Consider the following 27,030-nt stretch of genomic DNA (forward strand, 5'->3'; position numbering starts at 1 on the left):
ATTTTGTGGGGAGACAGAGGTTTGCAGAGGAGGAATGGTGGTTGTCAGGTCAAGAGTAGGATAGTCAGGGAGTGGCTTAATATGATTTTTCTTGTGTAAAGTAAGCATGTTAAGATAAAATTACCTATTAAATGCAACAACATTCGAATGTTCCTAATTATAGTCTCATCCTAACAAGACAGAGCGGGTAAAACATGACGGTTGGGTGGCGGGTGAGGGATTGGTGGTGAAGGAGGATCTACATAGGACATGAAGATGAGGGACTGAAAAAGAATTTGTTCACATTCTGCTGAAATCTCCCATAGTTTCCTTCATAACGCCACAAGTCTTTTTTCGAAGTCTCAGCCTGTGCTCAGAGTCAGGGTCAAAGTTCAAACAACGTCAAAGTTTATTTTTGAAATAAAGGTTTATTTCCTCACGGAATTCTTGAAGGGTTTGCCCCATGTGTGTGAAGCATTGAGACTGGACTGAAAGGAATTTATTTTAGGACCCTGAGCCGTCTTTGGCTCACACGCTTACTGCCCTAGGAGATGATTGATGGCCATGTAAGTTTCCAGTCCACCCTTGGAGGCCCAGCTCTGGGGTTACATCCCTCCCACTCAGCGAAGCCTCTGTTGCCTCTAGGGCAGAAGCATGCTCTTTCCTCTCAAATCTTGTAGCACTGATCCACTCAATGTACCCACTCTTTTTTTTTAACTTTGCATGCTTCATTAATAATTTATCTAATTCTATATGTTTTGATAAATTGTTAATAATCATTATAAAGATAAACTCAATCCACAAATCCCTCTCTTTTCAGAGTGTAGCATTGATTAGCCTTGATACTGTCTGCATTGTTAATTGAATTATAGGCTCTATCTGACTGAAAAGCTGGCAGTTCGATTTCTTTGGGCTACTGGGCTGCCTATCTGAGGAGAGAGAGTTTAATTGTATTCTTAACTGCAGAGCCATGCATTTATACCAAAAAGGGTAAATGACATTTAAAAAGAGAGTCGATTCAATCTAGTATTTGCCAATTCTTGTTAATTTCTCTTGGTACAGACACTTAGAACCAGAGAACAGAATGTTAGAGTTAGGATTAATGAGCAGCCTTTTCATACCCCCACTGCCTGTATATATATTTTTATTGAGTCTCATGGCAAGAGGGTGTGGGGTGAAATATATATTCTTAAAACTTAGATAAAACACAGTGCGACCCTGTAGTTCCAGCTACTTGGGAGGATTGCTTGAGCTGGGTAGTTCGAGTTCAGTCCAGGCAACATAGCAAGACGTTGTCCCTAAAACCAGAAAAAAAAAAAAAAAACTTAGATAAAACAATTGACTGTAGAGGAATATCAAAGAGAAAGCCAACATCTCTTCTTAGCCACCAAGTTGCTACTATCTGGCATATTTGAGAGGTAGCAACATGGAGGCAGTTTTCTTGTTTCTCATCCTGAAATAAGACTGAGGGCTGTACTGGGAAGCTGGGTAGGTTACATGAGGTTTGCTCATAAATTTTCATTTTGCAGCTGTGGAAACTGCCAGCTCAAGGAAGGAGAAATGGCATATCCTGTGTCACTTATTTATTCTTTCAAGTTCATTTTTATTGAAATTCTAGGTTCTTAGCAGCAGCTAGGAAGGCAGATTGGGAGATGGGAAGGAAAGCAGAGGCCTTACTGGTCTTGAGTGGTCAATGCTCCCATTTCCTCCTGCCTCTCTGGCTACTCCTTCTGTCTCTGTTTCTAGGTCGGATCCATACCTGATTCCACAGGGGCTTAGGCTTAGGCTCAGAGTGCAACTCCAAAATCTGGTGTCAGGATGAACTGCTGCAGGCCTGGAGCATGGGAGTTGGTGGGTGCGTGGGAAGCATCCAGCACTTTCAGGTCTGGCTTGGCTGTGAAGGGCCTCCCCTTCTCTTCTTTGCACCTTCATTTTCTCTCTCTCCTTCTGAATGTGAAATGCCAAGGTTTATAGGCAAATCAAAGCAAATGTTGAATTCACAGAGCACTTTCTGGCTACTTGGCTCTGGAGATGTGAGCGCAGGTGGGGCGTAGCAGCCTTGGCCTCCACATGAAAAGTTCTTAAGCACTTCCTTCCTTGTGTCAGGCAATGTTCTACTCCAGAATCCACAACGACTCTCTATAGCCCCTTCGGCTGAGTTGAATCCTTTAGTAAGGCTCTTCATATCTTGCTCTGCCTATAATCCTCCATTTATTCATTCATTCATTCAGCAGGCATTTTCAGAGTACCTGTGGTGTACCCGTCACTGGGCTTGGCACTGGGCATACAGCAGTGAACAAGACAGAAGTGATTCCTGCTGCCATGCAGCTAACAATCATGTGGGGGAGACAATATTATTACAAAGGAATATTAGTATTACTATTAAACAAGGATGTTCATATCACCCTCCAGTACACTGTGCCAGATACTGTGCTAGAGGGTGATGTGGGAGCACAGGAGAGGACACTTTACCCTAGCTGCTTTCCTGCCCAGCCAGCTTGGCTGGAGCACGGTATTTCAAGAACTCTAACTTTCCCTCCACATACCAGAGCCTGGCTCCCTACGCTCCTTCCTCTGAGGCTTTCTGCATCTCTGCTCACCTCTTGAACCCAAGGCAGCCCCTTATTCGAGGTCTCACCTTTCCTGTTGGGAAGAGACTGGATAAGAAGCAAGGTGACAACTTATATTCCCTTGGCTTCTTCCATCATACATGCAGACCCACTCTAGTCCTGGCAAGGGAGGAGGGACTCTGCTGTGAAGTGACTCCATTGCAAATACTTGATGTTTCCTTGACGAAAGCCAGGGCCATCTCATTGATGAGGCTGGAGTGAGAGCAGACTAGGCTGGGGGAAAGGGGGTAGGGCCAAAGCTGGTTTGCTTGGAATTGGGCTTGTTATTATAGATCTCTGAAAGATTCATCAGCATCAGGAATCAGAGTAGTGAGGGAGGCTCAGCGACCAGGCCCAGTCCAGGCCTGCTGTGCTCAGGCAGTGAAGCTCTGACCACACAGTCTCCTTCAATCTGCTCGTACCTCATTTCTTCTTCTCCAGAGCAGAGATCAGTCTAAACAGCTCATAGGTCAAGGAAAAGTATCCCTGGAGAGTCCAGCCAAGTCCCTGCTTCCTCCCAGTTGCTCTCTTGGCTCAGGTTTGAGTTTGCCAAATCGAGAATTTGGGGTTTTTATTCTGCAACTGGATTTTACATTTCAGAAAGGGTACAAGTCTTTTGCCCATTTGTTGATTCTTATTTTAATCAGAACCCAACTTTTCTAATATCCATGTTCTAATTTACTAAACAAGAAACAACTATATGCTGAAAAGGGAAATCGGATTACGCTTTTACTTTATTTTTAATTGACAAACAATTATATGTATTTATGGGGCACGATGTGGTTTGATGTATATATATTAATACATTGTGGAATGATTAAATCAAACTAGTTAACATATCCATTACCTCACATATTTACCATTTTTCTGTGGTGTGAACATTTAGAATCTATTAGCAATTTTGAAATATACTAGTTGTAGAACCTTCTTGAACTGCTTCAGGGACAATTAATTATCTGAAGGAATGCATGAAAACAGGCCACGCTTAGAATCATTAATGTAGATGCAGGTATTCTGTTCAAAGTATTTTACTGGCCAGTGTGGTGGCTCATGCCTGTAATCCCAGTGCTTTGGGAGGCTGAGGCAGGAGGATTGCTTGGGGCCAAGGAGTTTAAGGCCAGCCTGGGCAACATAGGGAGATTCCGTCTCTTCAAAAAATAAAAACTAAATTAGCAGGAGTGGTGGCACGTGCCTATAGCCCTAGCTACTCAGGAGGCTGAGACCGGAGGATCCCCTGAGCCCAGAGTGAATTCAAGGCTGCAGTGAGCTGTGACCACACCACTGCACTCCAGCCAGGGTGACAGTGGTAGATCTTGTCTCTTAAAAAAAAAAGTGTTTTGCTAATGGATTATAAAGGATTATAAGGATGTGAACATTTGTAAGAGGAAAAATGAGAAGAGAATGAAGAGAAGGAAGAAACCGAAGTACACCAAAGTCAAAGAAGTGGGTTAGAGGAGAGTCAGATGGGAGCTCAGTGTGTTGAAAATAAGCGTTCTGAGTGGAAAGGTCCTAAGTGCATGAGGACATATGCTCACGTACTCTGGTTTTCTGAGGACAATAATGTGCCCCCTCTTTTCTGCCTTCTGGAATGGAGAGAAATCAGGCCGTGACCACAGGGTTGCCCGCACTGAAAGCACATCTCGGCTCCTGTAACCCTCTTCGGAGAGCATCCCAGCAGCCCAGCCTGGCCAGGGATAGAGCCTATCCCAGCTGGCGGACCCTACCAGAAGGAGGCGTCCCTGGGCTCTCTTTTTGCATAAACTATGGAGTGGCGTCCCTCTATCTGAATTAAGTCTATTGTTCCAGAAAATGGGTTTGTTTCTATTCATCCACTCCAATGGCTTTACAATGTCCAGCCACTGTGGGACTCCCTAGAGACATTGTCTTCTTGAACAGTCGAATAAGATATTTGGTTTTTTGGTCCTTATTTCCAAGCTCCTGGGTGCTAGAAGGTTGTATTCACAGCCTAGTCTAGCCCGTGCGTGGCACCGAGTACGTTTGGGAAAGGAAATCTAGATCAATAAAGTCAAACTATTCGGTCGGTCTTCGCTGATTACCCGCTGGTGTGGGCGCGGGTGTGCTTGAATTTTTTTTTTTTTTTTTGTAATTATGAAGAAAAAGTTTAAGTTAAAAAAAAAAGCAAAAAATAACTTTAACCATCAGAACTGGGAGTGGAGCTCCTCAGGAGGACCGGGGCACACATTCTACACCGTACCTTACGTCCCCCCTCACGCAGACATTCCTTCTTTCACGCTCCAGCTCGCTCTTTTTACTCCTACTTCCCTTTCTCCCTCTCCCGGATCAAGCGTTAATCTGCGAATCTCTGACCGCAAAAGAAGAAAAAAAAAAAAGGTGGGTGGGGGGATCCCGAAGTAGCAGAGCTAGGAGGAGGAGGAGGAGAAAAGAGAGGAGGAGGAGGGGGGAGGAGGAGGAGGAGCCCGGCGAAGCAGAGTCAGAGGGACTGGTGGCTCCGGCGAGTGTGCAGCCCCGGGGGAGCCGGCGCTCTAGGCGAGGAACCCGTCAGCCCGCCTACCCGCCCGTCGTCTTTGGCGCCCGCACGCTCTCCGGCCCGCGCCCAGGGGCCTGCTACACCCGGAGCTGGGGCCGCCGCTCAGGGGCGCTCGGGCCAGGGGCGCTGCTCGGGGTGAGCCCGCCGCGCCGCCAGACTGGTCCCCTGCGCCCGCGCCCGCGGCCGGGATGCCGTTCTACAGGCGCACGGTGGTACCCCAGCGCCTGTGCCCGCGCAACCCGCCGCAGCAGCTGGCGGAGCTCCGCGACGTGAGCCACCTGGCAGCGCTCAGCCTGCTCCGGCAGCTCGCCGACCTCTGTGGCCACTCGTTGGCTCTGCTCGAGGACCTCGAGGGGCACCTGCTGGCCCTGGGGCGCCGCACAGACAGCCTGTACCGGCGCACCGTGCGCCTCCGCCGCCGCCTTCCCTGCCGCCTGCTTGGCCCGGAGGAGGACGAGGAAGAGCTAGGTAAAAACGGCGCCCCGGTGGCTCGCGGCCCCGCGTCTACCCCGCCTCTAGGGGCGCCGGTCGGCGCTTAGCGCTGTGCCCACCCTCTCCCCGCCTCTCTCCGCCCCTCCCCTCCCCTCCATTCGGGGAGTGAGGGGATCCCATTTCCCCGACCCCCGCCTCCGCCCCACGGTCGCCCTACCGCTGGAACTTCCTGCTCTTGGACCCGGTCGCGCCGTCCGGAGTGGCCCCGTGCCCTTGGGACTCCCGACCCTGGGGTTGGTGGCCGCCTCCTGGGGTTTTGGCTGGGGACGCGCTGGGTCCAGGACGGCTTGGGCGATACTCCCCCTACCCGCCCACCTAGCCCCAGGCCCTCGGCGCCGTCCTCATCGCCGCGTCGGGAGCTAAATGGCCGAGCCGCTGGCTTCTTTGCTCCTGTCTAGGAGCTCGGCCACTTCAGAAAGCGCGCCGCAGCCGACCGCAACCTACGCGGCGGCAGGAGCCGGCGGTGGTGCCTACAGGCTTTAAACCTGTGCAACTTCCCGCTGGAGCGTGGACGCGGCTCCCACTCACAGGAGTGTCTGAGCGTCCTCCCGCTTGCTTCTCTCCGCACGTTTTGGGCCGCTGTGCTGGGGAGTGGCCGGGAGGGGGGAGGGGAGAATGTCCGGGGCTTTGCTGACCCCCTACCCACTACCGCTAGGGTCTGGCTGTTATTTGCTGGAGAGAATCATTTAAAGAAACTATCATCAGTTTCCTGAAGCGCATTCACTTTAGGAATCAGCCATGCCTGAGAAACCAGGTTCCAGTGGTGCCCTCACTGAGCACGCGGGACGTGTGAGAGGGTAGGGGGGCTACGCGAGCCCTTGTCCTTTACTGTTTTGGATCCCAGCACTTTACACGGGGAATCCTCTGTCTGTGGAAATGCAGTGCCCCTGAGAGTGTGGGACTTCTGCTGAAAGCAAGGGGACTGAGTAGGCTGGAAATGCTGACTACAGCTGGGGCATGCCAGGTACCAGGGCCAATCGGTTCCTCCAGAAAGCTGGGGAGAGAAGGAGCAGTGTGGCCAGAAAGTTTCCAATGGGGGCAGAAGATGACTGCTGGCTGATTTCTGAGTGCAAGCTTCCAGCTAACTTGGGAAAGAATTGCCTGGGCCAGCCCCTCTTCATTGCAGACCCCACCCCATCCCCACCCCTTCCAGAAGGACTGGAGTCAGGCCCTGGCACCTCTCTTCATAAAGGTCTCTGACCTCTGAGGTAGATGGCAGAGGTCTCTGGTGGAGATAAATGAACTGAGTCCTATTGGAAAAGAAAGGTGGAAGCCACAGATGACTGCCAGATGGAATGTAGACGTTGGACCAGGAGCCTCTGCATGGCAGGGGCTCAGTTTTTTGCTGGGGTCCCACTGATTACAGGATTAGTCTAGGAGAAATTTGATAAGTCAGCTTGAGGAGTAGTTTTCAAAATCCCTACACAGTTTGCAGAGAGCCACCTACTGAGTTCAGTAGGGTAAGTTAAGGACAGTTTTTTCAACTCTACCTTCCTGTCCACTGAATTAGCAAGCCCTTTCTGTGGGAGGGAAGGCAGGGCTTCACCAAGTCACCTTTGGGACCTAACCCTCTCCGGTGATCTGCCAGGTTAGAAGGAGATGGCTTTATGCAATGGATAGCTTGCAATGGAGAGGAACAATTGTTAAGTTAAATTACCACTGGTTTGGCTTCTTGGCAGTTTTCAAGAGCAGGAAGAGTGGCCATCTCTCATCCCTGGTGTGGCCTCTTGCTTTTGAGAATGTACATGTCCCACGGCTCAGAGGCACCCAAGGGACTGCTGCATAAATGGAACACAGCTACCTTCTGTAAGTTGGTGAAAAGGTCTGATTTTCCATTTTCTGGTCTAATGCCCTACCCTAGACTCCCCTTGAAGTTCTCAGTGCACACTTTTCTCTTCAGGAGCTGTAATTGGGTAGCACTGAAATTAGGCCTTCTCAGCAATGGTCTGAACATAAGTGCCAAATGCAAAGAGAGTTGGGGAGCGTAATCAGTGCACCATCTGGCCACTCCCTTGTCGCTCAGGCATAAGCTTCAACAGGGTGTTTAGCAAGCCGAATATTAGATTTTGACCGTAAGTAAGTAAATAAATGAACATTGTCATGTCTTGCCCTTTTTTCTTCCCTATGCGTTTTCCTCCTAGGATTCCCACTCCCTTACTGACCATTTTGCTGGGGGTCAGCATTTTACCCTGCATATCCTCCATCTGTCTGGATTGCCCTCAGATTCTTCCTCTAGCTATTTATTTTGACCATGGGGCAGGAGAAACCTGGGAAGGTGGGAGGAAGGTTGGAAAGCAACATGGCCAGAGTGAATGACAGCTGACAGGCCAGCAGTATATAGCCTCCCTGCAGTGACAACTTGGCTGCCACTGACTGAGTAGTGGCAAGTCAGACTGGCCTATAGCCTGCAGGCTGGGCTGGGGCCCTGAGAAGCAGCAGGGGAGGACAGAGAGAGGAGGAGCGAGATAGAGGAGGAGAAAGTGGATGCTGAAGAAGTTGAAGGTGCTTCTCTACACAATCACAATCATGGGTCATGCCCCCACCATCTTCAAGGTTACAGGGGTGGACTGGGCTAGGCTAGTTGCCTCGCAACATCCCACCCACTCCACTGAAGGCTGTTCTTTGGTAACATGAACCCCTTTGAGACTGCCCTAAAAGCTCTTGTAACTGGTATGGTGTGGGAGATGGGGATGGAAGGAGGAGACGGTAGACCACAGGACTGCCGAAGGCCCCTGTGGTTGTGGATCTGTGGCAGTTGCCACACCCTAGGCATGGCCCTGCCTATAAGTTGAGGTTTTCCCCACATCTGGTTTTGAATGTGTCCTGTTTTATGGCATCTGTGGCCTGTACACTGGGTTCTTCATCTAAAAAATGGTGTAGTCAAAGCCATTGGGAAATAGCTCCATGCCTGCCACCATATGCTGAGTCAATCTAAGCTTTCCAACTTCTCCCTTGGAGATCTATATAATGTTTGTAGGTGCTTAGATGATAATTACAAAAGCAATCAGGCCATCCGCGTAGGGATATAATATCTCCTTTGCCATCAAGGAAGTCACTGAAGGGCTAGATAATTCTAGGTATGTTTAATAACACTGGAAAACTATCATGTTACACTAGCTCATGAACTTGCTGTGGGAAAGATGTTCTGTTGCTTCTTACAATTATTTTGGCTTGAATACAGCCAGTTGGGTCCGTGGTGAAAACTCCCTCTTCATCTTTATGTAAAATTCCTACTTCTTGATTTTCCAACTTTATGGCAACTCTGGCTCCAAATCAGAAAGGACAGCTGGTTTATTTGTGTTTAAATCATAATTCCAGTGTGAGGATAGACTGTTGTAAATCTATACGGAGATGAAAAAATGAAAAAAGCACCTCCAGACTGCAATGAGTTTGCCATTAGATGAGGTGTTGTGGACCCTGAGTCTGACCGTCCTTGCTAATGAAGAGAAGAGATGGCCTCTTGAGTCAGATGGAGTGGGGAGGGTGGCAGGAATTTGGGGACTTGGAACAGGCACTCAGCCAGGGCTTACTTTGTCTCTGTGGTACGTTTCATCCCGAGGCTCTTGGGACAGAGGGTTGACAGAGTATGGAGGGAGAAGCAAACCCATTTTCTTTTCTCTTCCCACCCCACCCTGCTTTCCATTTTCTTTTTAAATACCATGAAATTCCTGGTCTGCTTCATGGTATTTCCATGTGTTGAAAACATCTTCCCTGGAGATTTGGATACCAAAATGTCCACTAGAATTTCTTCCACTTTAGAAACAAGACATTTAATCTTCTCTTTTTTAAGACACATGAATAGCTAAAGTGATAAAAGTGTCAGGATGTTGGAATAGTAGAGTAATAGGAGAAGATTCAAGTTATGGCTCTTGGGCTCAACCTTGACCTTGACGACATTGATTAGGTTTTAGGAGGAGAGTGGTATATTTACATCATCTGTTCCTGTACCTCTCTGGTGTGGTACCAACAATTCAGTCATTAACCACCATATGTGTCATAACACTTGACATCCCGGACCCAGAAAGGGGAAGGTACCTGTCCAAAGGCACCCAGCTGGATCAAGACCTTCAGTAGTCATGAGTGCTGAAAAGATTTTAGTGCCTCCCCATATGTAATTCCAAGTGAAAGCAATACTAAACCTTTAAACAAAAATGTTACTCTTTTTAAATGGCTCAAAGCTCACATGGATGTTGAAATTAAAATATCTTACTAGATTCTTTCTCCCTTCCTCTCTGTCTTTTGTACCCCTGCTGTTGGTGGCCTAATCATGTATTTAATCTGCTGATTTGGGAATGTGGTACCGGCTGGGTCACACAGCAGGTCAGTGACAGGAGGCCTCCACCTAGAAGCCATGCCTTCTGACAACCAGACTAGTGCTCTGCCCTCTGCAGTGATGCTAAGTTCAAAGTCAGTTGTTCTTCGAGAGTCATTTTCTTGGCATTTTCTCTAGTTGGAACTTGTCCAGGATGAGAAATAACTCCTGTTACCTTTAGTAACTGAGGGCACCCTGTGGTTCTGTAGTTGTGGCCGGGGGTGAGCTGAAGCTGGAGAGGAGAAAGGAAGGTCAAACTTTCTCATATAGAGAATATAGAGAATAGGTGTGAGGCAACAGGCTCTCTTGTTAAAGCAAAACATAGTCTTCTTTGAATGGAAAATTGCTCCAGAAAAAGGATCTTCAGGTGGGAAGGGGTGGCTGGCCAGTGACCCTGACACTGTTGCAATCCCTCCTGATCCCTCTGCCATCTTTATACCTGTTCTTCTCCCTTGTAGCTTTCAATCCAGTTGTAGACACTACTTGCCACACACCTGCATCCTGACTATTTTCTGTTATTCTAGTAGAGGCTGGTTGGCATTTCAGAAGGCACCTTTTATTAAAAACCAATGGGAACAAGAAAGTAACATTATTACCAAAAGTGCATTTAGCATACACATTTACAGGGTATGGATTTCTTATCCTTCAGTGCTCAAGTAGCTTAACAGGCTCACTGGCTTTGCTGCTGTATTCCCTTTCTGAAGGCCTCAAATCGTCTTTTCCTTAGATCATTATTTTCTAGCCTCGAAAAGTGGGCACAACTGCGTCTGGACCCTGTCTGACCTTTGTGCTGGGTGCTAAAGACCCAGAGGTGAATAAGACCCAATGTCTCCATTCGAGGAGCTGCCAAGCTGCAGAGGTAGGTGCCATCTCATTCCTGACCACATCAGCATGTGGTGCCTGGGAATCAGGTCTTATTTAGGTGGAGGAGAGCTGATAACCAGAACCAGGACCCTAGTTCACATACCAGAAGATTCTTCTGCTCAGTCCGGTTTGGCGTCCAAAGATGGAATTTGGACTTTTAGAATTCCCTATGGTAAAAACAAAAATAAAAACCAATCTGTCATTCTGTTAGTGTTATTGTGAATTTAGCAATGCTTTTAAATGAATTTGCAGTTTTAAACACTATAATGTTATCTTCATGCATATGAAGAGTAGTGCTTATTCAGTCCATAGACAATGCTTGGTGGATCTGCAAACTAACAGACTTCTTGTGATAACTCTATGGTCCTCTAGAGTCCTCTACTGTCAGTTGGGAATCGCTGGCCTTCCTGGTTCAAGCTATCAGCTCTCCCCTGCTCTGTGGAACTCCACAATTTCACTCAAATAAGCCCTCATTGAAGTTTTCAAGTTAGAGGGCACAGGATGGCAATCTTAACAGTCAAGACTACTTTAATAATGCCACAAACAGGAGGTATGTTTATTAAGTGTACAGGTAGTTTGCAGTAAAGTGCTTTGTATGAGGTCATGCACAAGACCACTAGGTATCAGCCAGTTAACTTGGGAGGTTTGAGCAATTAGGCAGCTCTTCCTCCCTCCCTTCCTCTCTCCCTCCCCCCTCCCTCCCTCCCTCCCTCCCTCCTTTCCTCCCTTCCATTCCCTTCCTCCCTCCCTCTCTTTCTAAAATGTAAGCTCCTCAATAAGATATAAGCTCCTTGAGGGTAGTAGTCTTTATCTGTTTTCACTGTTGTGTCTCCAGCTCCCAAAACAATGCTTGGCACCTAATAGGCACTTAATAAATACCTGTTAGATTGAATACCTTCTTTCTTTCTTTCTAGCTATCGCACACTCTTTGAGTACTTGACTCTGGGCCCTGCCCTGTGCTGATTTCTGGGGGTACAGAGTAGAACTAGGATGCAGGCCCACAGTCCAGTGGGGAGAACAGTGAGCCATAGTGCTGTGGAGATAAGGTCTAGGCTACCGGGGCAAGGCAGAGGAGGCACACCTGACTCAGGACAGAGGCTGAGCGAAGCTTCCAGGAAGATGTGATGTCTGAGTTCTGAAGGATGATCTGGAGCTGGCCGTTGAAGGTTGAAGAAGGTGGGGGAAGGAATTCCTGGCTCAGGAAGTAGCCTGTGCAAAGCCCTGGATATGTGAGAGAGCTGGTGTGGGGGAGGAATTCACTGCCAGTGATTCAGGAGGAGAGGGAGCAAGGCACCTCCTGACTCAGAATAAGCCCCCAGGGTGGAGGTGGGGTGGGAAGTTCCTCACATCCTGTTTGTTCGTCAGGGAGTTGGATATGAGGGTCTTGAGAAGGTTAAACTGCATGGTTCAAATGAAGTTGTAATATTAACTAACTGTGGATTTTCTTTATCTACACTCAAGTTTTCATTATCCTTGGGCAGATGAGACCCAGGCAACCTCGGCTCCTTCATGCTTTGCAGGGCCAGGCCCTGGGCCCCTCTAAAAAGGCTAGACAGAGCAGGAGGGGCTCCGAGCCACAGTGAGAAAGAGAGAGAAAGCAAGAGTCTACCTGCCTGTGTGTCCCCGGCTGTGTGTATCCAGTTGCACTCCAAAGCTAAATGTATTATTTATGCCCCTGCTTTTCTGTGAGTGGGGAAATTTGAGGCTTGACGATATCTTTTATTATTATTTTTCTTTCTGAATAGCATAGATTCTTCAGAATCGTCTGTAATTCATCAAGGGGAAAATCAGAATTTTTTTTTTTTTTTTAAAATGGACTCAAAGAGGAGATGAGTTTTTAAAAAATATCTATCATCTGTTTTTATTTTGACTGGAATCATTTGCTTCCGAGCACAGTGTAATTAGCTGCCTGACAATTTATAGCCTGATCCCCAGTAACTGAAAAATACCAAACTCAAATTATTCCCCCAGACTAGGAGGCCCGGAGGTGATTGAGGTCTCCTTACGTTAACATCCTCTGTCCTTGGGGGCTGAGGGGGAGGGCAGTTCTCTGCCCTTGCAGGAGGTGGTATCTCCGAGTTGTCAGCAAGACAGGCCTTGTTGTTATACACTGAGTGTCTCCTTTGACTCAGTAATTCCATTTCCAGGATTTTATGCTAAAGAAATAATCAGATATTGTGGGGGGAAAAATGTGCAGGGAACCCCCACTGCATTTTTTGGTTATTTGCATTAGCCAGAAAAAGGAAAATAACTTACACATTCAATAATAGGGGAGTGGTTATATAAATTTTCCTAGGTCTATGTGATAGACTAATATACAGCCATGAAAAGCTATGCTCTAAATGAATTATAAGGCTACATGGAAATGCACAAAATAATGCTGAGTAAAAACCAAAGATAAAATTTACTACTATATACAATATCGTCTAAAACAGAGCACCCACACAGACACATACACATAAGAAGAAACTGGAGAAGCCTATGCCAAAATGCTGACAATGATTATCTCAGGGTGATGGGATTATGGGGATGAGTGGTAGTATTTTCCTTCTACCATTCTGTATTTGTCAAAATTTCCCCAATCAACATCTATTACTTTTAGTAAATAGAAAAGACAATGGATGACATGTTAAGGAAAAGGATCTTTGGATTTGGAATCGTCAGCTTCCAGGTGAAGTCCCACTTGCCCAGCACCTACTATCTGACTCTAGTGTCTCTGAGCCACAGTTCCTCATCTGTAAAATGGGGTTAAATACTACCCAGTTCACAGGGTTGTTGTGAGGATCCAAAATAATGTATGTATTAATGAAATGCCTGGTGCCTATGCTGCAACCATGGACACCATCACTAAATACTAAGAAGGTGAAATTCCACGAAGCTTGCTGAAATCCCTGGATGGGGGTACTGTCAAGATGAAGTTATAATAAGAATGTTCCTAGACAGCTATGAATTGCAGCCATTCTTCCCTTTTCCAGAATATGTAAAGAATGTTTGTGTGCCCACGGAGGAGCCGCATCTAGCCTTTGAGGCTGTCAGCTCATCTTTCCCAACCCGAGGATTTTCCTTTCCTCTGACTCCTCCCTTCATTCTCCCCCACTGACATCTGTTCACTGCCTCGCCAACCAAGGGGGAAAACATTCTTTGGAACTGAAGCTGAGGCACCACCAAGAGTCAAGGCAGCTATGAGATGTTTATTGTCACAGAGAATATGTGGTGCTGGCTGACCACAGAACCTGCCAGGCTGGGATGCCAAGGAGGGACTTTAATGAAGCAGCAGAGGATGGATGCAAGCCGCATAGCCAGGCAGTGTCCCCTGCCTTTGGGCAGAGCTCTTGTCCAAGTGTCTCACTGGCTCTCTGTTTTCTTCCCCTTGGGATGTCTGCATGGCTCCTGGTTGAGCTCACCAGTTTTACAGAACCAGCCTGGTTTATGGGTGAAGAAACACCTTCTCACAGAACTTATGGGGCCTAAGCGTGTTTCAGTAAAGTACTGGGCAGTTTGCCTGAGGGCCCAGCATGCCTAACTCTCACCAGCGTGGATATGAAGCGAGGAAAACCTGAGCTCACAGCCAGGCAGCCTCAAGGACATAGGCACACCTCAGCAGTGTCTACAAGATGCCCTGGCCACCAGGCAATCCAGCCATCTCCCTGGGTAGAATCCTTCACACTGCATGTCTGATTGCATTTTTCATTTTTTAATTACAGCCGTAGACTCATATAGACTCTGACTGCCAATCTAAAGCACCTAGAGAGTTTTTTTAAATTGTTAATGTTTTGCTAAATTCTTAGTAATTATACAAAATCATTATGTAGACCAATAGATATTATTGACCAAGATATAGTGATGCTTAAAACAAAGTCCTCTGTAATCAGTACAACATGTTGGTAGAATTTACCCTAAATGTTAAAAAAAAAAAAAGTACTAATGCTGTGGCTCCACCCCATACCAATAAATCCAGAATTTCTGGGGGATGAGGCCCAAGAAACAGTACTATTTAAAAGTTCCCATGTGATTCTACCGTGCAGCTTAGGTGAAGAACTCCTGTTATAGATGTTAAAGCTGGGAGAGACCCAGTTTCCTGACTTATTTGAACACGCAATCCTTTACAAATTATACTTGTGGATAATGAGCATGAACTATGATGCAGACTTAGATTAAAGTAAGTGACAAAAAAAAATGATCTCGCAGATGAATTAATTGTAAGCAGTAATAATGCGAGGTTAGGTTACATATATATTTTGTTTTTGTTTTTTTTGAGACTGAGTCTTGCTCTGTCGCCCAGCTGGAGGGCAGTGGTGCGATCTCGGCCCACTGCAACCTCTGCCTCCCAGGTTCAAGTGATTCTCCTGCCTCAGCCTTCCTAAGTAGCTGGGATTACAGGTACCCGCCACCATGCCCGGCTAATTTTTGTATTTTTAGTAGAGACGGGGTTTCGCCATGTTGGTCAGGCTGGTCTTGAACTCCTGACCTCGTGATCCGCCCACCTTGGCCTCCCAAAGTGCTGGGATTGCAGGCGTGAGCCACCGTTCCCGGCCAATATATTTTTTAACATTATAAGAGAACATAGGGGTTGGGCACAGTGGCTCATGCCTGTAATCCCAGCACTTTGGGAGGCCGAGGCTGGTGGATCATCTGAAGTCAGGAGTTTGAGACCAGCCTGGCCAAACATGGTGAAACTCCGTCTCTACTAATAATACAAAAAATTAGCCGGGTGTGGTTGCGCATGCCTGTAATCCCAGCTACTCAGGAGGCTGAGGCAGGAGAATCACTTGAACCCGGGAGGTGGAGGTTGCAGCGAGCCGAGATTGTGCCATTGCACTCCAGCCTGGGTGACAAGAGCAAAACTCCGTCTCTGAAAAAAAAAAAAAGAGAGAGAGAGAACATAGGAAATTAGAAACATGAAACCATTTTATTTTATTAATAAAAAGGATAAATATATGATGAAGTAGAGTAAAACATCTTTTATTTTACATATTTTGGTTATAACACGTCATCAAAACCCACTAACATTTTAAACAAGAATAGCATTTTTGTTTTCTTACGTCACCGCCACTTAATATCACCCATGATGTTACTGGGTTGGATCCCTACACCAGGTCAATCTCAACTTATTTTTCTTTGCAACAGAATATAACGACTCCACTATGCACGAGTTCATCGGAGTATAGGCAAGAGGAAAGAAACTTCCAGTCGTAATATTTAGTGTTCTGAAATAGGCTGTGCCAGAAATTCCAAATAGAAGTTGGAATGGTTGCCTCCAAATCAACGTCTAGATCAGACTCTGTGCTTTCCCGTGTTCTCTGATGTGGCACACTCTTTCATGCAGGTAGATTATTGTGTTAATAATACGGCATAAGAGTGAAATGTATTATCCACATTTGTATTTTGTATTTGTATCCACAAATATAATTTGTAAAGGATTGTGTGTTCAAATAAGTTGGGAAACTTTGGAGTGGTCTCTCCCAGCTTTAACCATCTATAACAGGGGTTCTTCATCCCAGTTGCACAGTAGAATGTATAAATGTATTGAGTATTTTTAATCCCATTTATACTTCAACAAATGCAATGCAGAAGAAAGAGTATTTATCTTTTTTCCCTTCATGATCGCAACAGAAATAGTTTTAGAATGTGGATCTAGGCCAACACTCACCCAGAGAAAGGAAGAGGACTGGGGCAAAGGGATCTCTGGGTAGGTGGCTGTGTGTTTGGATTTCCAGTGCAGAACCTCTCTTGTGGCTATTTTGGGGTCCTGAGACATCCACTTATGTGACCCTGTCAGCAGCCCCCCTGGGAAATACGAAGGCAAGGGGGACAAAGGGAAAGGGAGAACTATGGGGGGCACTTTTGGCATCCCTCCATAGTGTGATCAGAGAGGGGAGATGCTAAAGGTAACCCCTATAGTTTGCCTCCCAAGCAATACTGTACATCGAGGATGATAAATAAGGCATCAAGAATAGGCTGTAGGTGGGAGAGGTGGCACGGGCCTGTAGTCCCAGCTACTTGGGAGCCTGAGGCGGGAGGATCCCTTGAGCCCAAGAGTTCAAGGCCAGCTGGGGCAACATAGCGAGAACTTGACTGTATTTAAAAAAAGAAAAAGAGGCTTCAGCATCTTCAGAGGAATCTGTTTAAGAAGGCTGAGAAGGGTGTGTTCAGGAAGAGTTCCACTTGAAATGCTGAAAATTGAAGAAAAGATTAAATACTGAAAAGTGGGAAACATTCCAGCTCCCAGGAAACTTACCCATTAAGAGAACTCATTTCTTGAGGATTTTGGATAGCAAAGTCTCCCTGTATTCCAATTTCCAGCCTGTATTACCTCTTGGAATAAAGAGTTACATAAGTTTACTGCCTGTTGCGAAATAGCCCAATGAAATCTTTTTTCCCATAATTCTGAGTTAATGAAAATGGTAGATTTAGGAAACAAATGTTATTGGCTTGCACAGAAGTTTTATATTTTGTGTCTGTAGCTTCCAGACTACCTAATGCACATGGGGTGTGGGGTCATGAGGGAAGGGGAAGAGCTAGTGAAGGAGAAGGTTCTCTTTGTCCTATTAAATATTTATTTCACTCTCGTAAGATGCCAGAGGGAGCTGGTAGAAATTTGGCAAGCAGGTGTCCCCTCCAGGTAGAGGGATGGCAAAGGGTGCTTTCCCTGGGTGGATTAATTAGGAGAAGCCACTCTTTTTGGTGGAATCTTTAGACAGGCACATCCTCTGGGAACAGCAATTAGAAAAAGTCCCCTTTTCTGGTAATAAGTATTAAAATATGGAGTATCCTCTGGGTGGACCAATTTTAAAAAGTCACCCTTTCTGGGCATAGTAACTAGATAAAGGTACTTCTTCCTCCATGTGCAGTCAGACAAGGCATTGGGCTTGGCTGAATTGTGTCTCCAACTTGAGACCCCTTTGCAGGGTACCCTTGTAGGAATACAACTTGCCCAACAGTATAAGTGGTCCTGTAGTGCCAGGTGCCACCAGGCACCAGGTATACAGAAATATGTCAGTGATATACCCTGTTCTTGGATAATTTATAGGACAGCCCCTCTAAATCCCCACTGGCTTTAACTCGCCCCATCTGCTGCCAGCTCCACCCCTCCTGCGTCCCTGCTGGCAGAGCTACTCTCTATGGTGATGAAACATCCACCCTCCAGATGCCCAGGCTGCAGGCTGTTGTTTGACGTGGCTGTGCTGCTCCTGTCTGGGGATCCAGGCTAAATGTCTGCTTTCCACAATGAACAGCCAGAGTTACTGGTTAATTGTGGTGGCTCATTGCTTCTGGGTTCTAGATGGGAAAACATGGAAATCATTTAACACTTCACTATGGCTTTAAAACTTTTCTGTGTTCTGTTTAAATGGGCTTTGAAATGGTGAGTTTTGGTGTAGCTGAGATATTTCTGCCCTTTAATTTTCCTGTTCTTTAATAAAGGAAAGCAGTTTATCTTTAATCTGGTGATTTAGAGCTGACTCTGAGGGGTAATTCCTACCCCACTCATTGTACTATAACTTTGCCAGGCTTTTTGCCAGGTATTGGTGATACCAAAGTGAAAAGACTTACCTTTTGCTCTTCAGTCTTAGCATTTAGTTGGGGAGACAGTATGGAAGAAGACAACTTTGCTGCAGACCTCGCTACAGACCCTTTCACATAGGGTCCAATGTGAAAAGCACAGAGTACTGAGGCAGGGAAGGTTTTCATAGCATTTTCCTCTCGTGTCTTCCGGAAAACTCTTATTCATTCCTCCAGATTTCTATTCAGGCATTCCTTCCTGTTTACGGCCCTCTCTGACTCCCTTCACTATGTTCCTGCTATACTTTTTTCACTATGTTCCTCCAGGTAGCCTACCCTATGGGTAGGAGGCAGAGACTGCCAGTATGTATTGACCATTTTTGAATTCATGTTTATTTCCTTCTTTTACCACCTCTTGAAAAGTAATATGACCCTCTTCTTTAGAACTTGAAAGAACACCCTGGCCATCCCTTGGCCTAAGATAAACTGGAAGCTAGAAGTTAGAGGTCTCTTCCTAGGAGAATTAAAGCCCATCTTAAAGGTTGTGAGGATTTGGAAACAGAGTAGAACTATTGAGGCCTTCTGATCCCAATACATTTAGATGAATATAAAGAGTTCCTTCTAGCTCAAGGGAAATCAGAGTTACATTAGGTGGTTGTAGGCTAGTGACGGGCCTTTGAGAGTAGAAAGAGCCCTGATTATGAACTTGGCTTACTTTGCTAATTTTGCCCAATGTAAGCCCAATTCCAGTATTTGCTAATGGAGGTAATTTTTGGTGTTGAGCCTCTGTTTTCTGTTTGTCAGGAGGATCAAATGAAAGCCTGTATGGGAAAAGGCTTTGTAAACAAAAAATCACCCCCCCTCCCCAAATGTTATGTATTATCATCTTTTAGGGCAAGGATAGTGGCTGACTCATTCCTTTTTCTTCAAAATCTAGTTTGGAAGTAGGCACACTGTGAATGTTTGTTGAATGATTAACTGGCCTAGTAAGAGATGAGTTTTTGTGTTTCTTTAAAGCTCTGCATGTTATCTAATAAATCCGCTATATTAGTTAATGCCTACCCTTAGCTTTTTTGGTAATTTTTGCCATTACCAATACTGTGAACCTCGTAACACCCAAGAGGTGGTTATTGACTCCTAGATATTTTGCCTGCAATAGGATATACCAGTGCCAAATTGACAGTGGTGTCTGGGCTGATGCCTCTTGTCTTAAGAGCTTAGGTTTCCCACCAGACTCCTCAAGGGTTGTATTTTATTCCTGTCTGTTTTCCCCCACTGCCCTGGTATGCAGTAAGTGCTCAATACATATTTTCTGAGTGACTAACAGAGAGAGGGAGTGGCATGTTTTTGCACTTTTTTTTTTTTTTTTAAGACGGAGTCTCGCTCTGTGACCCAGGCTGGAGTGCTGGAGTGCAGTGGCGCGATCTCAGCTCACTGCAAGCTCCGCCTCCTGGGTTATGTTTTTGCACTTCTATTTGGCCAGCCAAATAAACTCCAGATAGCAGAAAGTGACAGATGTCACAGCTAGATCACCCTCATCTTACTTTTATACTTGAGATGACACTCCTTTTCTAATTTAAAAAACCTTTGGACAAAAACCCATGTTTTTATTGTTATCTTTAAGAGCTTTCTGTGTGCCTGACAATATATACATCATTAACTCATTTTATCCTCACAATGATTGCATGAAATAGTTACCATTATTATCTCAATTTTCTTGATAAGGAAACAGGCTCAGAGAAGAGTAAACAATTTAGAGTTATGGAGTAAGTTGAGCATCCACAATTTGAATGCCCATCCATGTTCTCCATCACAATCAATGGGGAATAGATTTTACTGAAAGCAAGGATCAGAAAAGAAATGTGTTTTTACCACTATCAGGGAGGAGATTTTGTTCAATGCACTGAGTTGGGATAGGATCTGATGGAGGGCTTTCTAGTGGATTGCAAGAGATTCAGCAGGAACATATCCAATGAGATTAAAAAAAGAGTTAAAATGTCTGGGGGGGCACAGGGAGAAAAAACAGGAAATTGAGTTTTCTCTGTGAAATTAACTAGCATTTTTGCCTTTCTTTCTAATTTATGAAGCTCTTTTACATTTGTTATCTCATGTGATTCCCATGACAACCCTGTGAGTTATTACTTCTATTTGAGAAATGAAAAAAATAGACTCAGAGATATTAAAACTGACCTGCCCACAGTGGCAAGTGGGAAGTGAAAACCAAGAAACCATTTGCACTGTTTTAGGTGGTGGAGATACAGGAGTGAACAAGAGAGGCCAAAATATTTGTCCTCGTGGAACTTACTAGGTAGATAAACTATGACTTATTTCTTTTCAATTACCCTCTGTCAAGTAATAGATACTGGTTTTGGTTTTCAACCTTAACTGTATTTTAGAATCACCGGGCACACTTTGAACAAAACATTGATGTGTGTGTGTGCACACACACTCAAATTTTAAACCTGCTCTCGGGGGTTTTAGTGTGCAATCAAGCTCAAGAACCGTTGGTTTAGAGCAGTGGTTTTCAACCTTGGCTGTTCATTAAAATCACCTTGAGAATATACATATATATACATACACCAATGTCTGGGCTTTACCTCTGAGGCTAATTAAATTAAAATCTCTGTGGTTGTGTCCAGACATGTGTACTTTTAAAATGTGCCTCCTCAAATGGTGCTACTAAGTTCAGGGTGTGGGGTTTACATGAAGCACTTGAGATAAAGAATAGCTTGGTCCCATTTCACAGACTGTGCCCCTCACCTCTTGAGCATATGAATCATCGGTCCTTCATTCTTGCAACAAAATGTTTATTGAGTACCTGCTGTATCTCTGGTGAGTTCCTTCTCTTTCCTGGGTCCTGATTCCTCCCTTTGTAAAATGAGAGACTGGGGTGTCTCTGAGACTTATTGCAGCTCGGTCTATAATTCTATAAAGGAGAGTGGGCTGGGAATGTTAATGGCTCAGAGGACCCACTCTTGGAGACCCAGGTTAAATTATTTGTCCTCTTGACAGTACTGTATGCTTCATTTGAGAGACAGAAATTCATGAAATTCCAAAAATACGCGAGCAAGCCTTCTCTCACTAAGCAGTTTGTCCACAAGGAGCAGATGGAATCTTCTTCCTTCGTCTCATTCACCATCTTGCTGACCATCGGGTTGGCAGCACAAATGTGCATATGAGGGCCGGATCAGAGGGAGGGACTCAATGGGGTCAGGCTGTGAAAGTCAGCCAGAGGGAACAAGAACCAAAAATGTGCCTTGAAGATCAAAAGCACCTGGAAGCAGCAGAAAGCGAGCTAGAGGAAAGCAGCCTACCACTTGGCCTAATTTTCTTTTGCACCTAGAGTTGGTTTAACACTGACAGAAGACGGATAATAAGGATAGCTGTTGAGAGGTAGCAGAGTTAGCATAGCAGTGAAGTGCTTGGGCCTTGGGGCCACCCTCTCTGGGTTTGAATCCTCACTCTATTACTTGTTTTCTTTCTTTTTTTTTTTTCTTTTCTTTTTTTGAGACGGAGTCTTGCTCTGTGACCCAGACAGGAGGGCAGCAGCGCAATCTCAGCTCACTGCAACCTCCGCCTGCTAGGTTCAAGCGATTCTCCTGCCTCAGCCTCCTGAGTAGCTAGATTACAGGCGCCTGCCACCAAGCCTGGCTAATTTTTTTACTTTTTTTAGTAGAGACAGGGTTTCACCATGTTGGCCAGGCTGGTCTTGAACTCCTGATCTCAGGTGATCCACCCGCCTCTGCCTCCCAAACTGCTGGGATTACAGGCCTGAGCCATCGCACCCGGCCCTACTACTTGCTTTCTTTATGACCCTGGACAAGTAGCCTGACATCTCTTTCCATTAGTTTCTCTATCTGTAAGTTAGGGATCATTATAATAATAGTACCTACTTTATAGACATGTTATGAAGATTATAAGCCTGGCAGGCATTAAATATTTGTCACACAAAATTTATAAGTAATACTTCTAAGTGTTGAGCACTTTACTTGTATTTGCTTCTTAATCTTTGCTTTATTTGAAACAGGTACTATTTTCCCAATTTTGTAGATGAAGAAATCCAGGCATGGAGATGTTGTCACTGTGTCATTAACTAAGTTAGTAGTTATTGCAAAAAATGAGCTAACTAGTAAGCCACAGAGCCAGGATTTGACCCTGGGAGAATTGATTCTTTAGTGCCCACTCAACTGCAGGATTGTATAGGACTGCACACAGCCATTATCTTAGGCTTGATACCTGAAGATAAAGGAACTGAATTGGGCCCTGGAAATCCTGAAAAGGGGGAAATATGGGTCTCACCCAGAGGAGTTGACTCTGTGGGTAGGGACAGCAGACATATGCATAAGAAGACTGCAATAAAAGATGCTTTGTGCCTAATGTCATGGGAGTTCAAAGTGGCCAGTGACAGGTTTGTTGTGATGCTTGGCTTTGGACTGGATCCTTGATGGACATACAGAGTGTGCCCTGGGCAAGGGGAGTTGCATGAGCAAAGGCAAGGAGGTAAGGCTGTGGATGGCATTTTTGGAGTTGGGGAAAGCACTGTTTCCCCTCTACCATATGGTATAGAAGCCTGGGTGGCCCCTCAAACTTGGTGCCAAGGTCGAGGGGCACCTGGTACTACTGGGCCTCTTTTTGGGACCCCAGGGAAGCAGATGGTACAGAAGCATAAACTTGGGCTGTCATAGGTGGTTTGGACATCCAGTCCAAACCCTTCATAGCATAGATAGGGAAACTAAGGCCCGGAGAAATGAAAGACTTAGCCCCAGCAAGCCAGCAGCAAACTATGGAAGGTTTTGTCAGGCCAATATTTCTGCCATGCAGTGATGCATAAGAGAGCCTGGGCCATATCCTGGAGATATAATTGAGTAGCACACAAATCTACTGTAGTACCCAGAAGTCTTCTTCGGAACTTGATTCCAAGTTTTCTTCTGCTTAACTCCCCATACTGTCATAGATGGAGTCTTAAACATGAGGTTTGGCAGACCTACCGTGGAGGCAGTTTTACAGGGCAAGCTGAGAGGAAGACAGGGCAGGGACCCAACATGATGTGAATTATCCCCTAAGACTTTGAAGTTCTCAGGTGTTTTCATAATTGTTTTTTAAGCATGAGATAAAATACCTAGGCTTACAAAGGAAAACAATGGTACTGAAAGATAGTTATCAAAATACTTTTTAAATTGTGATATATAGTAGTATATGTGCTTCTTAGCATATTTCAAATTACAAGATCTAGCGCTGGGTCTTATAATTACCAAAATATTGAATGAGTGAAATTTCAAGATACCTTCAACAACTGTCATATGATCTGTGATTTCTATTACTGACAAAGGCACAGGTATTGCTAACACTTCTGTGGTTTGTTGCCTACATTCATCATTTCAATTAGAGTTTAGTGAAAATAAACAGTTAATTATTTTCACATACAAGTTCACGGGCCTCCTGAACTCTCTTCATGTAACACCTGGTTAAGAACTTAATTTAACTCATTAAGAATCCCTGTCCTAAGGCAAAGCCGAAGCTGGAGAACTGACCCAGCATGGGATCTTAATCCTGCTCTAAGAAATTGACTTGAAGGAGGTGCTTGAGTGCCCTGAAACTCTACTCAAGATTGTAGTGTGCATGGATGGTTTTCATTAGTGCAACTCACTGAGTAGTTCTGGCTCTCTTTCTGTTTCTTTCTCTTTTTTTTTTCTTTTTGGCGGTGGGGGACAGTGTCTTGCTCTGTTGCCCAGGCTGAAGTGCGGTGGCATGATTATGGCTCGCTGCAGCCTCAACCTCCCAGGCTCAAGTGATCCTCACCCCTCAGCCTCCCGAGTAGCTAGGACTACAGGTGTGTGCCACCACACCTGACTAATTTATGTATTTTTTGTAGAGGCGGGGTTTTGTCATGTTGCCCAGGCTGGTCTCAAACTCCTGGGCTCAAACAATCTGCCTGCTTCAGCCTCCCAAAGTGCTGGGATTATAGGCATGAGCCACCACGCCCAGACTCTGGCTGTCCTTCTTCCAGGAACATGGCAGGATTGCACTTCCTCACCCCCTTGCAATTAGGGGTGGCCATGTGGCTTGAACCTCATCATATTCAGAATTGATTCCACATTCTATCTGCCCTGCCCACCTCTCTTACCTCACCTCCCACCCGTTTCACCGGGTCTACTTCAGCTGTGCTGGCCTCATTTCTGTTCCTCACCAAGCTTATTCCTGCCTCAGGATCCTTGCACTAGCTGTTCTTTTTGGCTGGAACACTCATTCCCCAACTCTTAGTATGACTGGCTCATTCTTAGCCTTTAGAACTCACTGTTCACCTTATTTTTAACAGCTTTATTGAAAATAATTCACATACCATTTAATTCCCCCATTTAAAGTGTATAATTCAGTGCCTTTTAGCATGTTGGTGGAGTTGTGCAACCATCACCACAATCAATTTTAGAACATTTTCATTACCCTAAAAGGAAATTCCATTCCCCTTACTGGTCCAATTCCCCATCTTCCCACCAGTCCCTGGTAACCACTAATTTACTTTGTGTCTCTATGGATTTGCCCATTTTGGAAATTTCGTATTAATGGAGTCATATAATATGTAGTCTTTTGTGTCTGGCTTCTTTCACTTAGCATGTTGTTTTCAAGGTTCATCCGTGCTACAGCATGTATCAATACTTCATTATTTTTTATGGCTGAGTAATATTCCATTGTATGGATGGACCATAGTTTGTTTATCCACTCACACATTGAAGAGTATGTTTCTATGGCTTGTTCCTATCCTTTGGCTATTATGAATAATGCTCCTATGAACATGTGTGTTCAAGTTTTTGTGTAAACATATGCTTTCATTTTTCTTGGGTATGTACCTAAGGAATGGAATTGCTGGGTCATATAGTAACTCTACATCTAACTTTTGAGGAACTGCCAGACTGTTTTCTACAGAGGCTGCACCATTTGATATTCCCATCAGCAATGTACAAGGGTTCCAATTTCTCTGCATCCTCACCAATACTTGTTATTTTCTGAATTTTTTATTATAGCCATCCTAGGGAGTGTGGAGTGGTATCTCATTGTGGACTAAACATCTTTTCATGTGCCTAGTGGCCATTTGTATGTCTTTTTAGATAAATGTCTATTCGAGTCTTTTGCCCGTTTTTGAATTGGGTTGTTTATTATTTTGTTGTGGAATTATAGTTCTTTATGTATTCCGTATATTAATCCCTGGTCAGGTATATGACTTGTAAATATTTTCTCTCATTCTGTGAGTTGCCTTTTCACTTTCTTAACAGTGTCCTTTGATGCACAGAAGTTTTTTAAATTTGATGATGTCCAAGTTACCTATTTTTTCTTTGGTTGCTTGTCCTTTTGCCATCATACGTAAGAGACCATTGTCTAATCTAAGAACGTGCAAATTTACATGTTTACTTTTAGGAGTTTTATAGTTTTAGCTCTTATATTTTGGTTTGTGATCCATTTTGAGTTAATTTTTGTATACGGTGTGAAGTAGTGGTCCAACTTCATTCTTTGCATGTTCTTGGATATCCACTTGTTTTAGCGCCTTTTGTTAAAGAGACTATTCCTTCCTCCATTGAATGGCATTGGTATCCTTGTGAAAAATCAATTGACTGTAGGTGAATGGGTTTATTTCTGGACTGTCAATTCTATTACTTTGATCTATATGTGTATCCTTATGCCAGTAGCACATAGTTTTGAAAACTTTGATTGCTTTAATTACTTTTGATTACTTTGTAGTAAGTTTTGAAATTGGGACGTGTTAGTCCTCCAACTTAGTTTTTTATTTTCAAGATTGTTTTGGCTATTCTGGGACCTTTGAATTTCCACATGATTTGTAGGATCAGTTTCTTCATTTCTGCAGCACTGCCTTATTTTTGCCCAGCTGTTTACTGTTTATCAAGGATATCCACATTCATTTTTTCTTTCGACAAATATTGATTGAGCACCTACCATGTGCCAGACACTGTGCCAGGTGCTGTGAACAATTAGCCATGGCCCTTGCCTTCAGGGAGCTAAGCATTTAGTGGGAGAAGCAGACATTAGTCAAATAATCACCAAAATAAATTTTAAATGAATGATAGAAATGATTGACTTAGTCGTGGGGGACCAAGAAAATCCTTCCTGGAGAAATCAATAATTAGGAAGGTGCCTGAGTTGGAGGAGATGTATGGGAAGAGTATTCCAGGCAGCAAGAACATCGTTCTCAAAGGCGAGAAAGGAGGATGCTTTTAAGGAACTGCAAGGAGACGAATTTGATGACCTACAAGCACAAGAGAAAGAGCAGCATGAGATGAGGGCGAGCTGCCTGAGGGGGACCAATTCTACAGGGTCTGTGGGCCACCGAAGCAAAGAAGTAACATGATCTGATTTTGATTTCAAAATGCTCACTCTGGCTGCTGTGCTGAGAATGGACTGGAGAGGGGTGTGCAAGATCAGTGCCAGTTAAGAGGATATTACCGTAGTCCGAGAGAGAGATGAGGGAGGGCTAGATGAAGGTGGCGATGGCAACCCTGCAGAGGAGGTGGACAGATTCACAGATGCAAGAGAAATGGAGGAGGTTTCAGAGTCAGTCCTTGGTTCTTGAGGCCTATGTGATGGTGTTGGCAGGGGTGGTCTTCACCAAAATAAAGAGTACATGAGTGTAGGTGGCTTTGGAGGAATCATTGTTACTGAGTTTGAGATGCCTTCCAGATATTATTAAGTTATCTGATCCTCACTCCAAATCATCCCTATGAGAAAGGTGTAAGACTCTTCTCTTCATTTTGCAGATG

The 27,030-nt window shown here is 44.9% G+C and overlaps 1 protein-coding gene across 8 annotated transcripts in view, besides 1 other annotated feature; it reads left to right on the forward strand.

The window, feature by feature from the left end:
* The window catches only part of NHSL2 (NHS like 2), a 242,442-nt gene continuing 220,454 nt past the window's right edge, over positions 5,043-27,030 (forward strand). For all 8 annotated transcript variants that reach the window (NM_001438805.1, XM_047442065.1, NM_001438806.1 and 5 more), the window contains exon 1: positions 5,043-5,565. In NM_001438805.1, coding sequence (NP_001425734.1) covers positions 5,286-5,565 — 280 coding nt within the window. In that variant the 5' untranslated portion in view covers positions 5,043-5,285. The remainder of the gene's footprint in view (positions 5,566-27,030) is intronic.
* Positions 14,119-14,619: an enhancer, noted in NCBI's record as "H3K4me1 hESC enhancer chrX:71139771-71140271 (GRCh37/hg19 assembly coordinates)". NCBI's record gives its function as "activates a minimal SCP1, AML or CMV promoter by ChIP-STARR-seq in primed H9 embryonic stem cells {active_cell/tissue: H9 hESC(primed)}" and the evidence as "EXISTENCE:reporter gene assay evidence [ECO:0000049][PMID:30033119]".

Source organism: Homo sapiens, chromosome X, assembly GCF_000001405.40.
Source record: "Homo sapiens chromosome X, GRCh38.p14 Primary Assembly".
Classification (NCBI taxonomy): domain Eukaryota; kingdom Metazoa; phylum Chordata; class Mammalia; order Primates; family Hominidae; genus Homo; species Homo sapiens.